This window comes from Homo sapiens, chromosome 4 (assembly GCF_000001405.40).
Source record: "Homo sapiens chromosome 4, GRCh38.p14 Primary Assembly".
In the NCBI taxonomy this organism is placed as follows: Eukaryota; Metazoa; Chordata; class Mammalia; order Primates; family Hominidae; genus Homo; species Homo sapiens.
This window is the reverse complement of record NC_000004.12, coordinates 99053444-99069305: the sequence shown is the minus strand read 5'-3', so window position 1 is coordinate 99069305 and position 15862 is coordinate 99053444. Positions and strand designations below refer to the sequence as shown.

The 15862-nt window shown below is 39.4% G+C and overlaps 1 protein-coding gene across 15 annotated transcripts in view, besides 1 other annotated feature; it reads right to left on the bottom strand.

Moving 5' to 3' along the window:
- Positions 1-6496: 6496 nt before the first annotated feature.
- METAP1 (methionyl aminopeptidase 1) overlaps positions 6497-15862 on the bottom strand; it is a 67089-nt gene continuing 57723 nt past the window's right edge. For all 15 annotated transcript variants that reach the window (NM_015143.3, XM_017007914.3, XM_011531779.3 and 12 more), the window contains 2 exons: positions 11488-11553; positions 6497-8152 (listed from right to left, as the gene is read on the bottom strand). In NM_015143.3, coding sequence (NP_055958.2) covers positions 7989-8152; positions 11488-11553 — 230 coding nt within the window. In that variant the 3' untranslated portion in view covers positions 6497-7988. The remainder of the gene's footprint in view (positions 8153-11487; positions 11554-15862) is intronic.
- Positions 14482-14551: an enhancer, noted in NCBI's record as "active region_21737". NCBI's record gives its function as "activates an Ori minimal core promoter by ATAC-STARR-seq in GM12878 lymphoblastoid cells {active_cell/tissue: GM12878}" and the evidence as "EXISTENCE:reporter gene assay evidence [ECO:0000049][PMID:35858748]".

Below are 15862 nucleotides of genomic sequence, written 5' to 3'. Positions count from 1 at the left end.
GCCTCAGCCTCCCGAGTAGCTGGGATTACAGGCGCATGCCACCATGCCCGGCTAATTTTTGTATTTTTTGTAGAGACGGGGTTTCACCATGTTCACCAGGCTGGTCTTGAACTCCTGACCTCAGGTGATCCACTCACCTCAGCCTCCCAAAGTGCTGGGATTACAGGCGTGAGCCACTGCGCCTAGCCAAGTCTTTCTTTTTAAGATCATTTTAATACATCGTCTTGAATTGAGGAATTGCTTAACATATGTATGTTATATATGCTAAAAACTGCCAGGCGTGGTGGCTCACACCTGTAATCCCAGCACTTTGGGAGGCCGAGGCAGGTGGATCACTTGAGGTCAGGAGTTTGAAACCAGCCTGGCCAACATGGTGAAACCCTGTCTCTACTAACAAAAATCAGCTGAGTGTGGTGGCGCACAACACCTGTAATCCCAGCTACTCGGGAGGCTTAAAGCCAGGAGGCAGAGGTTGCCGTGAGCCGAGATCGCGCCACTGCACTACAGCCTGACCGACAAAGCAAGACTCAGTCTCAAAAAAAAAAAAAACCAACCAACCATTCACTAAGTGCATGTAAGCAAATCTACCCTGGTTGTCCCAAATTGGGATTCAACCACTTTAGAAGTCTTGTTAGACATTTTTTCAGTGGATACATAATAGTTGTATGTACTTACCGAGCATGTGATATTGATATGTGCATACAATATATAATGATCACATCAGAATAACTGGAATATCCATCACCTCAAACAATGATCATTTCTAAAAGAACATTCCAAAGCTGCTCTTTTAGCTGTTTTGAAATATACAATAAATTATTAATTGTTGGGAAACTTTTGAAAGTTATCTTTAAGCTGCTTTTTTGGACAAGAGGTATATAATTGCAATACAGATGGATATTAACTTCCACTGTATATTTCATTAAAGCTGGTAAAATTTTTTTAAAGGATCTAAAATTTTGCCATGTAAGGAACTTAAGCATCTTTATGTTTAATTGCAAAATTTTTATATTCCCAATATAAAAATTTCTCTTCAAGTATTTCCTGCATTGCCATTTTTAGCATGTTTGGCTATTCTGCTATGTAACCTACCTAGTGATACTCGCTGGAGACAGTCCGTCTACAGGCATGTCTGATAGGCACAAGTTCTTTATTCACACAAAACTAACATATAGAGTAGAATTTATGGGATGATGACGTCGTTTGGGATAGAGGTATGGAAAAAACTGCATTATGTCCAAAACTTTACTACAGTGGAGCCAGTCAACATGTGTACAACTTAACACCTAACAAAAATGGCTCCAAAAAGTATACATAGCACTATTTCTGTTCATCCCATCTGAATGGAAAATTTTACTTAGCTGGTAATTCTCAAAATGTTTTGTTGACTCAGGGAAGGGGAAACATATTTTACATGCACAGAATGCTTCAGAACTTTTCTGCTCGGCTACCAATCTGCCATGTAGGTTGATAATCAAAGTCCTAAAGTACAGTTTAGTTCTTTGGGCCTACAGGGACACCTTGTTGACTAACTGGCTTCAGCCAATTTTTTTCAGTTCACACACAAGATCAATTTCTTTGTCAGCAAATACCTTTTAGAAAAAGTACACTACAAACACACTTGGAAAACATTTTATTAAGTACTGTATAAACAGCTATTTAGATAATAATTGCATAGAACTATACCAAGGTAATTGTGTCTTTAAGGAACAACTACCAAGTGAACAAGATGAGCAAAGTCCTCTATTATACAAGATTTCCTTCGGTGGAACATTATGGTGACAAAGCAGCGTAATGGGCTCTTAAGCAGATTGATTTTTATCAAACTGGACATATCAGAATTCCTTATGTATAAGAGAAATATGCACATGCTCCTTTCAAGAAAAGAGTGATAACCCACCATGGAATTACCTCCAGTTTAAACATGTACTCTTGACTGCCAAAAATATCGAGATATGTTAAGCAAGATAAAGCAGCAGAACACGCTTTAAAATATGTTGATCTCTTTCTGTAATCTACATGTTAATATTAAATGTTCTTATCCTTGGCATTGTTTCCTCAGAATCATCCAGGGCTCAAATTCAGATTTAAGTTTAAAAAATTCTATCTGGAATTGTCTGGTGATCTCTGACCCAACTACTGAAACAAAGCAAATCTGCTTCATAGCCAGTCACATTCTGTATAGAATAAAACAGTTGGTAGTTGTCATATCACTGCACAAATAGGAGATTGCCACAGAGAAGTGTGGTGATTTGTTCTCCTAGCCACAGAATCAATTTAAAAATTGTAGAAATTGGCTGGGTGTGGTGGCTTACACCTGTAATCCAAGCACTGTGGGAGGCTGAAGTGGGAGGATCACTTGAGGCCAGGAGTTCAAGACCAGCCTGGGCAACATAGACCCTGTCTCTATAGAAAAATAATAATAATCAGGTGTGTTGGAACATGCTTGTAGTCCTAGTTACGTGGCAAGCTGAGGTGGGAGAACTGCTTGAGCCCAGGAGGTCAAGGCTGCAGTTAGCCATGATCATGCCACTGCCTCCAGCCTGAGGAACAACAACAACAACAACAACAAAAAACTATTAAAATACTGTGAACGACTAACAGCACAATTGTGATAAGTGAAAATTTTTATAGGAAGTCCTTCTTGAGTGCTCCATATTTTAACTTTTTGGAGTATTCTAGTAAAATACCAGTGTTGACCTTTTTTCAAAAATAACCAGAATCACCATATACACAGTTCTATTGTTGCTCACCCACAGTCCCCAAAATGAAAAGCAGCAAACACGTAGCCAGGGCCACCTTATTCCTGCTTCATCTTGCAAAACACCCAAATAAATGCAGACTATTTTTCTTTTTCCTACTTAGCACCAAAAGGAAGATGAGAGAAGGTTGCCATAAGGGCCAGAGTTTCCATACACAGACTGTGTGCTAAGCTAACCTTTCCTTAGGTGTCCATTTTTAAAATAGAACAAAACACAACTTTTATAGGTTTTAGCCTAATGCAGCCTATGTTATGAAACAGTTTGTTCCTAAAACATGAATGTCTAAATGTTATGTTCTAACATAAAGGAGTTGGCCCCATCAAAAAGTGGGCGAAGGATATGAACAGACACTTCTCAAGACATTTATGCAGCCAACAGACACATGAAAAAATGCTCATCATCACTGGCCATCAGAGAAATGCAAATCAATACCACAATGAGATACCATCTCACACCAGTTAGAATAGCAATCACTAAAAAGTCAGGAAACAACAGATGCTGGAGAGGATGTCAAGAAATAGGAACACTTTTACACTGTTGGTGGGACTGTAAACTAGTTCAACCATTGTGGAAAACGGTGTGGCAATTCCTCAAGGATCTAGAACTAGAAATACCATTGGACCCAGCCATCCCATTAATGGGTATATACCCAAAGGATTATAAATCATGCTGCTATAAAGACACATGCACACATATGTTTATTGTGGCACTATTCACAATAGCAAAGACTTGGAACCAACCCAAATGTCCATCAGTGATAGACTGGATTAAGAAAATGTGGCACATATACACCATGGAATACTATGCAGCCATAAAAAAGGATGAGTTCATGTCCTTTGTAGGGACATGGATGAAGCTGGAAACCATCATTCTCAGGAAACTATCGCAAGGGCAAAAAACCAAACACCACATGTTCTCACTTACAGGTGGGAATTGAACAATGAGAACACTTGGACACAGGAAGGGGAACATCATACACTGGGGCCTGTCGTGGGGTGGGAGGAGGGGGGAGGGATAGCATTAGGAGATATACCTAATGTAAATGACGAGTTAATGGGTGCAGCACACCAACGTGGCACATGTATACGTAACAAACCTGCACGTTGTGCACATGTACCCTAGAACTTAAAGTATAATAAAAAAAGAAAAAAATAAAAATAAATAAATAAATAAAGGAGTTGGAAAATGAGCGACACTGCCACAAGTGTGGTGTAATTTACAAGTGGTATGATTTGCTCCTCTTGCAGCTGGAAAGCTTGGTAAAAGTTAAACACTATCAAATGTAGACAGAATCTTACTACACTGTCTCAAACAGTTCCAGCATTTCTAACTGCCAGACCACTAATATATCCCTCCCCACCTCTACTGTATTTTTTGCCCCCGAGATTCACTGCATTCATTCTTAAAGTAGCCCATGGTTTATGAAATTCAGAATAAGATCTAAATTACTTCAATGATATGTTCTAAGAAAAAAAGAATCATAAAGAAAGTGTACTTTATTGTTGGCAGTGATTTTAGTGTAGTAATTTTGAAACAATTTTACATCTGTCTGGTAGTATCAAGCAAATATTAATCTCCCAGATTACTTGTTTAGGAAAAAAGGTATTTTTACAGTGAAAAGGTCTGACAAACACCAAGTGATCAAACTTTGCATCAGCAATAAGGTGACAACAACATTATGTGCCTCACGTTGTACAATGAATGGGGCATACAACTGCCATTTCTGTAGTCTTCCACCAAGATGTTTATCCTGCATCTATCCTCATGAGGAACAATCAGACAAACGGACTTTTGTAAACTAACCTGATTTTTCAAGTGTCCATTTCGTAAGACATCAAAAAAGGTGTGAGGGTTATTCTAGCATGGGTGTCCAACCTTTTAGCTTCCCTGGGCCACAGTGGAAGAAGAATTATCTTGGGCCACATGTAAAATACACCAACGATAGCTGATGAGCTCAAACAAAGGCCTGTGCATAATTTTCATGATATCCACCACCACAGATAAAAGATCCTCGCACTCAAAGGATTAGACACGGCTGCTAGAGTTAAGAAGACTAAGACCAGGTATGGTGGCTCACTCCTGTAATCACAGCATTTTGGGAGGCCGAGTCAGGTGGATCACCACGGGTCAGGAGTTCGAGACCAGCCTGGCATCAACATGGTGAAACCGTCTCTACTAAAAATACAAAAATTAGCCTGGGTCATGGCGGGGGCCTGTAATCCCAGCTACTAGGGAGGCTGAGGCAGGAGAATCGCTTGAACCCAGGAGGTGGAGGTTGCAGTGAGCCAAGATTGTACCACTGCACTCCAGCCTGAACAAGAGTGAAACTCCATCTAAAAAAAAAGGAGACTACAGATACATGACAACTAAATGCCATGAATTTGGAAGCTTTAAATAACATTTTGGGGGAAAATTAAAGTTTATATCCTATACATTATATAATTCTGTATTAATACTAAATTTCTAATTGTGTTATGATCATGTAAAAGAATGTCATTAGGTTAAGAGATACATGCTGATGTAGTAGGGTGAAGTACGATGTTGCTTCTTTCAAAAGAAAAGTGCTTATACAGAGATAAAGCAAAGGTGACAAAATGACATTTGTTAGATAAAGGTAAGGGATATATGATTATTTCACTGTACTATACTTTCAACTTTTCTGTAATTTGAAAATTTTCAATATAAAAAGTTGGAGATAAAAAATAAAAATTTTAAAAGAAGGGAAAAACAGGAAGGAAATCGCTTACAGATACCATGAGGGTAGAGGTTAAGCAAAGGGGAGCATCCTGCTCTCAGTTTTAACCAAATCCAATGAAAACCCAGAAGTCGTTAGAGAACAAACTGAGGAATCAAGCAAACAAATTCCTAAACCTCATCAACTCTTGCCTATTAATTTAGATATGTGGGTGCAAGTGGTATAAAGGTGTTGGTTAATCCTTTTTATCAACAAAAGACATAAAATGAAGTTCATGTTTCCCTTCTTCCAAGTTATAATTCCAAAGGAGTTGGAAGACTGGCAGGGGGAAAAAATTATTCTAAAAGTTAATGTAAAAAAAGAAGTTAATACTTTGATTTTTTTTTTTTTTTTTTTTTTTTTTTTGAGATGAGGTCTCTCTCTCTCACCCAGGCTGGAGTGTAGTGGCACAATCATAGCTCACTGTAACCTTGAACTCCTGGGCTCAAGCGATCCCCCCATCTCAGTCTCAAGAGTAGCTAATGCTACAGGCTCGCACACCATGCTCTGACTTGTTTTGTAAAAAGGTGGCAGAATGATGAAACTAGGTGTTTTGTCACCTAAATCCAATGAACATTTGTAATTAGATATATGCAATTAGACTAGAGTCCATATTGTTTTAAAATCTCCCAAACTAAGAAAAGCATTATCACCAGTGTGGTGTTTTATCTTTTAACCAAAAAACTATCACACCAAGATCTTTCTTCCTTCAGCTTATATTCTAATGACAGACACTGAATAAGCCCACATTGTTAATTCCACAATCAGTACATAAAATGCTCCCCTAATATTCAGCATTCTGTCTTAAAAGCTCTCAAAAATATGGTTGCATCTCAAATGCTGCTGGCACTCTACTGAGTTTATGTACAGCCATTACACCTGAAAAAACATTTCTACTCAAATGGTCATGAATTTATTTTAGATTATCAAACAGCCTCCCCATTCCCACCATTTCCCTCTGAAATCCCAAAGAAATGCAGCAAAGTTAATGACTACATGGTAGGATAATCATTCAAACTTTTTAATCTCCCTTTACACATTATATTAACATTCATATTGCAAGGCATTCCATTCACAAATATTACAGTTTGATAAAAACTTCACACACATACTCCCAAAGTCTATACCAGATTCAGTCAACTTTACTAAATCATTCAAATAATAAAAGTAATGAAAACATTATTATATTTTAAAGCAATAAGGTCTGAGGCACTCTGGGAAAGATGTTCTCTTACAAGTATAATGTGTCAGTGGTATGAAATTATATTACAAGGATGCCCAGTAATCAAGTACACTCTAATGACAATGACTTTGTGATTTGATATGTCTTCACTGGATACACTCCTACTTGGACAACTGCTGAAAGGAACGTAGATATGGGGCAGCTGAGGTCATTTCTAATGAGGTTCCCAACTATGTAAAGGAGAGGTGTGTTTCCACACACGAAGGACAGCTGCATCTCTACTGCAAGGTTACAGTACACAAAATTCCTTTCTCATCACTATCACATTTACTCAACGTTAGATTTTAATAGCCCACTTGACCTCCTGGGTTCACAGCTGGAGACACTTTAGAACTCTTTCCCCATCCTCCACCATAGTGCAAACTTCACGCTTCTCTGAGCACCTCCAAGGTATGCCCTTGAAGTAAAACAGAAAAGGGAAGAAAGGGGGCTTTTTCTTTTCCATTTCTGACCAAACAGAGGTCTGAAATAGCAGTGTATTATGAAATTCTCATTCCCTGCAACAGTCAGCCACCACTTGGAAAATGGCTATTTTTGCCATAAACTAGATTTTTAAAAGCCTGATAACCTTCCAAAGTGAATTTTACTACATTCATTCACTGACACACAGAGTCCACATTGGAGAAAGTCTCATTGGGTGAGTGCTTCCCTATGCACAATTACAAGGGTAAATAATTAGCATGGGGGAGAGGGGAGGCCAAATCCCAACCAGGAATTAAATCACTGCAAACTATGGATCCATTTGTAAGAACATATAAACCTGTCAGAGCAGAAACAACACAAACTCCAGGTCACATAGTGTTTGGTAATTATGTATACAGAACTTAAAATGTATACATATATATTTCCATATATATAATTTAAAAAATCTGGTGCAACACATATTGCTAAGTTTCAAAGATTCTCATTTCCAATGTTCACCTGGAAAGCAGATGGCTCTTGATGGCTGTTTTGCGGCAGTGATAAAAGCAACTACAAGCAAGTTTAAGTAAAAGTGCTCAAAGGGCAAATGAGAAAACAGGTGTGCAGGGGGAGGGGGCTGAAGAGTTGAGCAATGTTTCCTTTATTCTTCTCAGCTTTTTCAGACCCAAGACAAGTTCTTGAGGACACACATCAAATGCTGTAGTCCTTTCTTATCTATAGTCAAAACAAAACAAGTGATTAAAAAAAGGTTCCTCTTCCTTTCTGTACTCTCAATAAAATGCATAGCACAGTAAGAAGGTACTGAGATGTGCCATCTTGGGAGAAATTAAAATTGAGACATGAAGTGAGGCCGTGCACTGTCAAGTCGCCGGGTTAGGATTTCACAGCCAGTGTCTGTGACCAGGAGGGTGTGCTCAAACTGAGCAGACCGCTTTCCGTCTCTTGTCACCGCAGTCCAACCATCTGGCCAGGTTTCATCCTGCCATCCGCCTTCAACAAACAAAAACAATTTCTTAGTTCACTCAGTTTTCTAAATGAACTCTATCAAGAAGAAAGCCAAGGAAAAAATTCACTACTAAGATCCTTATTTACATGCCAATTGTTTTAGCTAATGCCTTTCCAACTTCATTTTGGTCTTCAGTATGTTTGATGTTTAAATTTCATCAGATGTATTACAACCACATTTTTTATATATCCCAAATATCAAATCAAGATGGAATTTCCAAAATAAAGGCGCTGGATTTCATTTTAACAACATATTGATACCAATCACCACAACTTTGAGTAACAACCTTAATTAATTATATGTATCATTATATGTATCAAAGCATCACTATGTACCCTATGAATATGTACAATAATTGTCCATTTTAAAACAGGAAATTTTTTAAAAAGGACATTCTGCAATATGCTACAACACAGATGAACCTTGAGAACATAATGCTAAGTGAAATAAGCCAGTCATAAAAAAGCATATGCTTGGCCAGGCGCGGTGGCACACGCCTGTAATCCCAGCACTTTGGGAGGCCGAGGCGGGCAGATCACAAGGTCAGGAGATTGAGACCATCCTAGCTAACACAGTGAAACCCCATCTCTACTAAAAATACAAAAAATCACCCGGGCATGGTGTTGGGCGCCTGTAGTCCCAGCTACTCGGGAAGCTGAGTCAGAAGAATGGCATGAACCTGGGAGGCAGAGCTTGCAGTGAGCTGAGATCGCGCCACTGCATTCCAGCCTGGGCGACAGACCAAGACTCCGTCTCAAAAAAAAAAAAAAAAAAAAAGCATGTGCTTAATGATTCCACTTCTATGAGGTAGAGTACAGTAGTCAAAATCATGGAGATAGAAAGCAGAACAGTGGGTGCCAAGGTCTGGGAGTAGTGAGCAATAGGAAGGGAATGTTTAATGGGTTGAGTTTCAGTTTTACAAGATGAAAAGACTTTTGGAGATGGATGGTGGTAATGGGTGCACAACGTTATGAATGTATTTAATAATATTGAACTGTACATTTAAAAATGAGATGTGTATTTTACAATTAAAAAATCAGAAAAAAAACTTGAATGAATTTAGCTCTTTCCTAGTATAACTTGGGCATCTGACAAAACTATACTCAGCATATATTGTGAAGGAAATCATGTAAATGTTTACAGTTTTATTACAGCATTCAATTCCTGATATAATTTCAAAATGGTAGGCACACAAACAGATGGTGAGAACAGATTATACAGTGAAATTTTTGTGAACTATACCCCTGGAATCAGAAAGAGGGGCAAAAGAAAGACTGGTGTGAGAGCATAAGAAAAATATGAAGCAGAATGGTCTGGACAGGAGTTGAAACCAGAGAAGGGAAGCAAAGGGACAGTGAATCTGGGAGGCCATGAAAGAAAACTCAGAGAAAGGAGGGAAAGGGGGTGAAGGGGTCATAATGAGGGAAAGCAGAAAGCAAAGGCCCAAGAGAATGTGAAGCAGAGGTGGAATGAGAAAGGCAATTCTAGATACTACTGTAAAAGATGTATTTGCGAGCTTTCTTCTTTCAAAATTAGATGTTAAAAAAAAATCAATACTTTCTTCATTTTGAGTAATCTTTAGGTGAAACATATTACCTCTAGGACTCACTGCCTCAGACAGACAAATCCCAGAACATAAACTCTGTAGTGAAGTAAACTACTTTTGCAATATTAAATCCCAGGCTAAAAAGAAAATACGAGGCGGCCTAAAAAAGTTAACTCATGCCTCATCAAGCAACTAAAGATGAGTACATCGATGTTTTTCAATGTAATGGCCTTTACACAAATGGCCTTTACACAAATTTAAAACATTACTACTGTAATTTTATTGTGATCTGATAAAACAGGATTTTTAGTAATGTCAAGTCAAACTTATTTGGCTATTCTGAGGAAATTCTCCTGCAGATTTGAGACTTTCTAGTCCAGGGATTTAACCTAGCTGAGTTACACTTCAAGTATATCTGCTATAATTTGATGATTAATTACCTGTGCTGGCTGTATAGAAAGTTATTTGCTTACTGAAAACACTACATCATGGCTCACCAACCAGGTGCTAGTTAATGGAAATACGTAGCCAAAATGACAATTTCCTCCCACTATCTTTCTTTTCACTGCTAAATACTTACCATCTTTACAACTGGTTGCACGTGATCAGAACTTTATCCTTATTATAAGAGGATGACAAAAACTTTACTGCACATTTGTGCAGTCTTTTAAAGTATATAACATAACATAAATCATCTCAGTCTAGCAGCCCTGGGTGTTGGCAAGATAGAGATTCTAATTTTCATTTTACAGAAAACGCAATAAGGAACCAGCTTTAGAAGGCAGCCTCTAAAGTGACTTCAGTGATCCCCAGCCTCCTGGCATGCAGGCCCTTGTGTGAGCTCCTGCTCCCCTTGAGTGCGGGCTGGATTCAGTGAATCACTTCTAAGAAAGACAATATAGAAGTCACTCCCAAGACTGGGTTATAAAAAGACTGGAAGGATCAAGAGAGGGAGTATCCTTTAAAACAGGGCTCAGGACACACAAGCTCTACTGCTACTGCCTCACTTTGCATCCCCTAACCAGAAAGCTCCATTACCAGAATCACTCTGAAAATCTCGGTGAGGAGCCCTAATTGTGACTCCCAGTCTCCTATCACTGCTACAAGCCTGTCTGGAAGAGATGACAACAGTGGGGAGGCTGCCAGAGCCAAGTGTGCTTTCCAAGTGTCCTTGGTGTGCTTTCCCCACAATAGCTATATGATGCCACGTGATGACATGAGTACAGACCATGAAGGGTCAGAACAGCTCATGAGCTGAGTCTGACAAATTCTGCCAAGTAACAAGCTAAGTTACAGGCAAGCTACCCACCCTCTTCAAGGACCAGTTTCCTAGTTTCTATAATGGGGTAACACCTACCTTATAAATTGTGAAGAATTAAATCATATAATCATGTCTGCCTCGAACTGGGTGGCTCGTCAATGCTCTGCTCTGTTCCCTCCTCTTCCCTCTCCTACATCAAGCAAGAACGTCCGCACAGACTTGACCTGGGCACCTCATTATTACAATGCACCCTTTGACATGATCTTTATGAAAAGGGACCAGAATTCAAGCATTTCAGCATCTCCTGACAGAAGACTACCACGCAGAACCCATGCCGTTCTTGCCAACCCTCACAATTTTCAGTTCTTCACGATACTGAATCAAGTTTGAGGTGGGACAGGGAGTGAGTAGGAAGCAAAAAGCAAGCAGGTAGAAAAGACCACTGACATGATGAATTACCTAAAATACATATAAATTCAATTGAAAAATATCATGGCATCCTTTTTTCTCACCTTCACAAATCATTGGCTCAATTGTAAATACATGGCCCGACTTCATCACTCCAACTGCTTTATTTTCTGAAATCAAAGAAAAAAATCTCAAAAGGTAGCAAAACCAACAGTGTACTGTTGAACAGCTAACTAGAAAGAGTACATAACTCAAATTCCCATCAGTGATTGTTAAATTAATTACCCTGATTCCCTTTCTTAAAGTTCAACAAACAGGTATTATACTGGCAGCCATCTAATATGGTGCACGTATTGTCCTAGGCACATTTCAATTACGCTTATGTGTTCTCTAGGAAAACAGAGGTATTTGTAGGCTGTATTTCAGAGATGAGTATCACTTCTATAAAAAGAAAAGTGGCAAATAAAGAATAAAAGAAAAGTGCCTTGATTTCTATTACCTCATGATTAGAATTGCAATCACAGAACCAAGAGTTCCACTACTCATCCGGGTAGAGAAGCTCAAAGGAGAATGACAGATGTTTCAGATTATGCCAGAAATTTCCCACCGCTTTGGGGGGTAAGCATGTGTTTGCACACAGGTGCACAGCCCATAGAAACTACATGATTTTCATAATGTTTCATAAGCTGTTGTGTTTTTCTCATCTTCAAAGAAGAACAAAATCTATGCACATTAACCTACTTTTTAAAAAATAAGCTGGGTGCGGTGGCTCATGCCTATAATCCCAGCACTTTGGGAAGCCGAGGCAGGTGGATCACCTGAGGCAGGTCAGGAGTTTGAGACCAGCCTGGCCAACATGGCGGAACCTGTCTCTACTAAAAATACAAAAATTAGCCAGGTGTGGTGGCGTGCACCTGAAATCCTAGCTACTCAAGAGGCTGAAGCAGGGAATCACTGGAACCCAGAAGACAGAAGTTGAAGTGAGCTGAGATCAATTGCGCCACTGCACTCCAGCCTGGGCGATTGAGCAAGACTCTCTCAAAAATAAAAACAAGGCCGGGCGCAGTGGCTCACACCTGTAATCTCAGCACTTTGAGAGGCCGAGGTTGGTGGATCACGAGGTCAGGAGATCGAGACCATCCTGGCCAACATGGTGAAACCCTGTCTCTACTAAAAATACAAAAAATTAGCTGGGCGTGGTGGCGGGGGCCTGTAGTCCCAGCTACCGGGAGGCTGAGGCAGGAGAATGGCATGAACCCGGGAGGCTGAGCTTGCAGTGAGCCGAGATTGTGCCATGCACTCCAGCCTGGGCGACAGAGCAAGACTCCGTCTCAAAAACAAACAAACAAACAAGCAAACAAAAAAAACAAAAAACAAAACAAAAAACAAACAACTAAGGAGACCATTATTTTTTAATTCAAAGCAAAAAAGCAAACTCCATTTCTCTCTCCAAGTACTTTTTAGCTTCTTTGTCCAAGTTCACTAATGTAAGTTTTTTTCAGGATCATCATGAGCAATACAACAATAAATTACAGTGACCAGACCTGCCATACCCCTCAAAAATGCCAAAAATGTTAAAACTAGGAATAGGCTTTTTTAGACAAAAATGGAGAACTAATTTAAATTCCAAGTTAAACAAAACCTAATAAGGGTATCAGCTAAGTGAATGACTGCAATGCCCAACCTGACCACCAGATGGCTAATACATCAGCTTTTCAGGGTTCCTCTGCGAGGTTGTTCTGATCTGCAACTTTGTTATGAATGGCAAATTTGCCCGCCCTTTGAGGCTGACTCAACTAAACTCTCCTCTTTCCAGGAATGGTCTAACCTCCCCTACACGTTTATATTCCTGCATAACTTTCCAGATGAATAGCTATCGTGCTGCTTTCCACTATCTTAGGTATTGCCAAAATACACTTACTGCAGATTTCAAATCTGGAGCTTCTAAACTGTTATAAAATCCTAAGGTCATTTGAAAAAAGGAAGAAAAGAAAAACAAACATTTGACTTTTAATTTCTAAATTCATAAACTTTCAAAATGACATGCTTAATACATATACAGAATTGGTCTGTATTTCCTTGGAGAAACCAAAAAGAAAACGTCAAGAATGTCAGTGTGGTGTCACAGAAAGTAAAAAGGATGAAAGACTCTTGAACTCTGCCGTCCAGAACAGCAGCATTGGCCATGTATAGCTAGAAAGTACTTGAAAAGTGACCAATCAGAACTGAGGCTATCAGTGCAAAAGCCCTTTGGATTTCAAAGACTAAAACAACATGTAACATATCTCTCAATAATTTTTACACTGATTAAAGTTTCAGTTTCCCAACATACCTCACTCAACAAATACACATTATCTGAGTGACTATACTATCGCAGACACTCTTAGGTACTTTTTAAAAAATTTGTACCTGATCTATAGTCTCTCACAGAATGACTGTAATATGCAGGCATGCCTTGTTTTATTGCATTTCACTATATTATGCTTCACAGATACTGCTTCCTTCTTTCTTTTCTCTTTTTTTTTTTTTTTTGAGATGGACTCTTGCTCTGTTGTCCAGGCTGGAGTGCAGTGGCACGATCTCGGCTCACTGCAACCTCCACCTTCCAGGTTCAAGTGATCCTCCCACCTCAGGCTCCTGAGTAGCTGGGGACTACAGTTGCATGCACCATGGCCGGCTAATTTTTGTATTTTTAGTAGAAGCGTGGTTTCACCATTTTGGCCAGGCTGGTCTAGAACTCCTGACCTCAAATGATCCGCCTGCTTCAGCCTCCCAAGGTGCTGGAATTACAGGTATGAGCCACCACATCTGACCAGATGCTTTTTTTTTTAAAAATAAATTGAAGATTTGTGGCAACCCTGCTCTGAGCAAGTCTAACAATGTCATTTTTCCAACAGTGCATGTTCACTTCATGTCTCTGTGTCACAATTTGGTAATTTTCACAATCTTTCAAACATGTTCATTATTATCACACCAGTTATAGTGATCTGTGATCAATGGTCTTTGATGTTAAAATTTTAATTGTTTTGGAGCACCACAAACTGTGCCCATGTAAAGACGGCAAACAAATGTTTGTGTGTGTTCTGAAGGCTCCATCAGCCTGCCCCACTTCTCTCTCCCTCTCCTCAGGCCTCCCTATTCCCTGAAACACAATACTGAAATTAGGCCACTTAATAGCCCTAGAATGGCCTCTAAGTGTTTAACTGAAAGGAAGAGTCACATGTCTCTCACTTTGAATCAAAAGCTAGAAATGATTAAACTTAATGAGAAAGGCATGTCAATAGCCTAGATAGGCCAAAAGCTAGGTCTCTTGTTCCAAAGAGTTAGCCACATTGTGAATGCAGAGGGAAAGTTCTTGAAGGAAATTGAAAGCGCTACTTCACTGAACCCACAAATGCAAGAAAGTAAAACAGTCTTACTGCTGTTATGGAGGAAGTTTGAATGGTCTGGATAGATCACACAACCGACAACATTCCCTTAAGCCAAAGCCCAATCCAGAGCAAGGCACTAACTCTCTTCAATTCTACGAAGGCTGAGAGAGGTGACAAAGCTGCAGAAGAAAAGTTGAAAGCTAGCAGAGGTTGGTTCGTGAGGTTTAAAGAATCCGTCTCCATTACATAAAAGTGCACGGTGAAGCGGCAAGTGCTGATGTAGAAACTGCAGCAAATTTGCCAGAAGATATAGCTAAGATAATTGATGAAGGTGGCTATACTAACAAACAGATTTTCAATGCAGACCAAAACAGCCTTCTAATGGAAGAAAATGCCACCTAGGACTTTCTCACTAGAGAGGAGAAGTCAACAACTGGCTTCAAAGAACAGGCTGACTTTCTTGTTAGGGGATCCTGCAGCTTGTGACTTTAAGTTGAAGCCAATGCTCATCTACCATTCCTAAAGATTCCTTAAGAATGAAGCGAAATCTACTCTGCCTGTGCTCTAGAAACAGAACAACAAAGCCTGGATGACAGCACCTCAATTTATAGCATGGTTTACTGAATATTTTAATAATATTAATATATAATTAACATATAATATAGTTAATATAATTAATAATATTAATGCTGAAACCTACTGCTCAGAGAAAAAGATTCGTTTCAAAATATTACTGCTCACTGACAATGCACCTGGTCGCCCAAGAGCTCTAACAGAGATGTACAAGGAGATGAATGTTGGTTTCATGCTTGCTAACATGGCATCTATTCTGTAGCTCATGGATCAAGAAGGAATTTTGACTTTCAAGTCTTATTATTTAAGAAATACATTTTCTAAGGCTGCCGTAGATAGTGATTCCTCTGATGAATCTGGACAAAAGTAAACTGAAAAACCTTCTTGAAAGAATTCACCATTCTCGATGCCATTAAAAACTTTGTAGGCTGGGTGTGGTGGCACACGCCTGTAATCCCAGCACTCTGGGAGGCAGAGGCGGGTGGAATGTATGACTCCAGAAGTTCAAGACCAGCCTGGGCAACACAGTAAAATC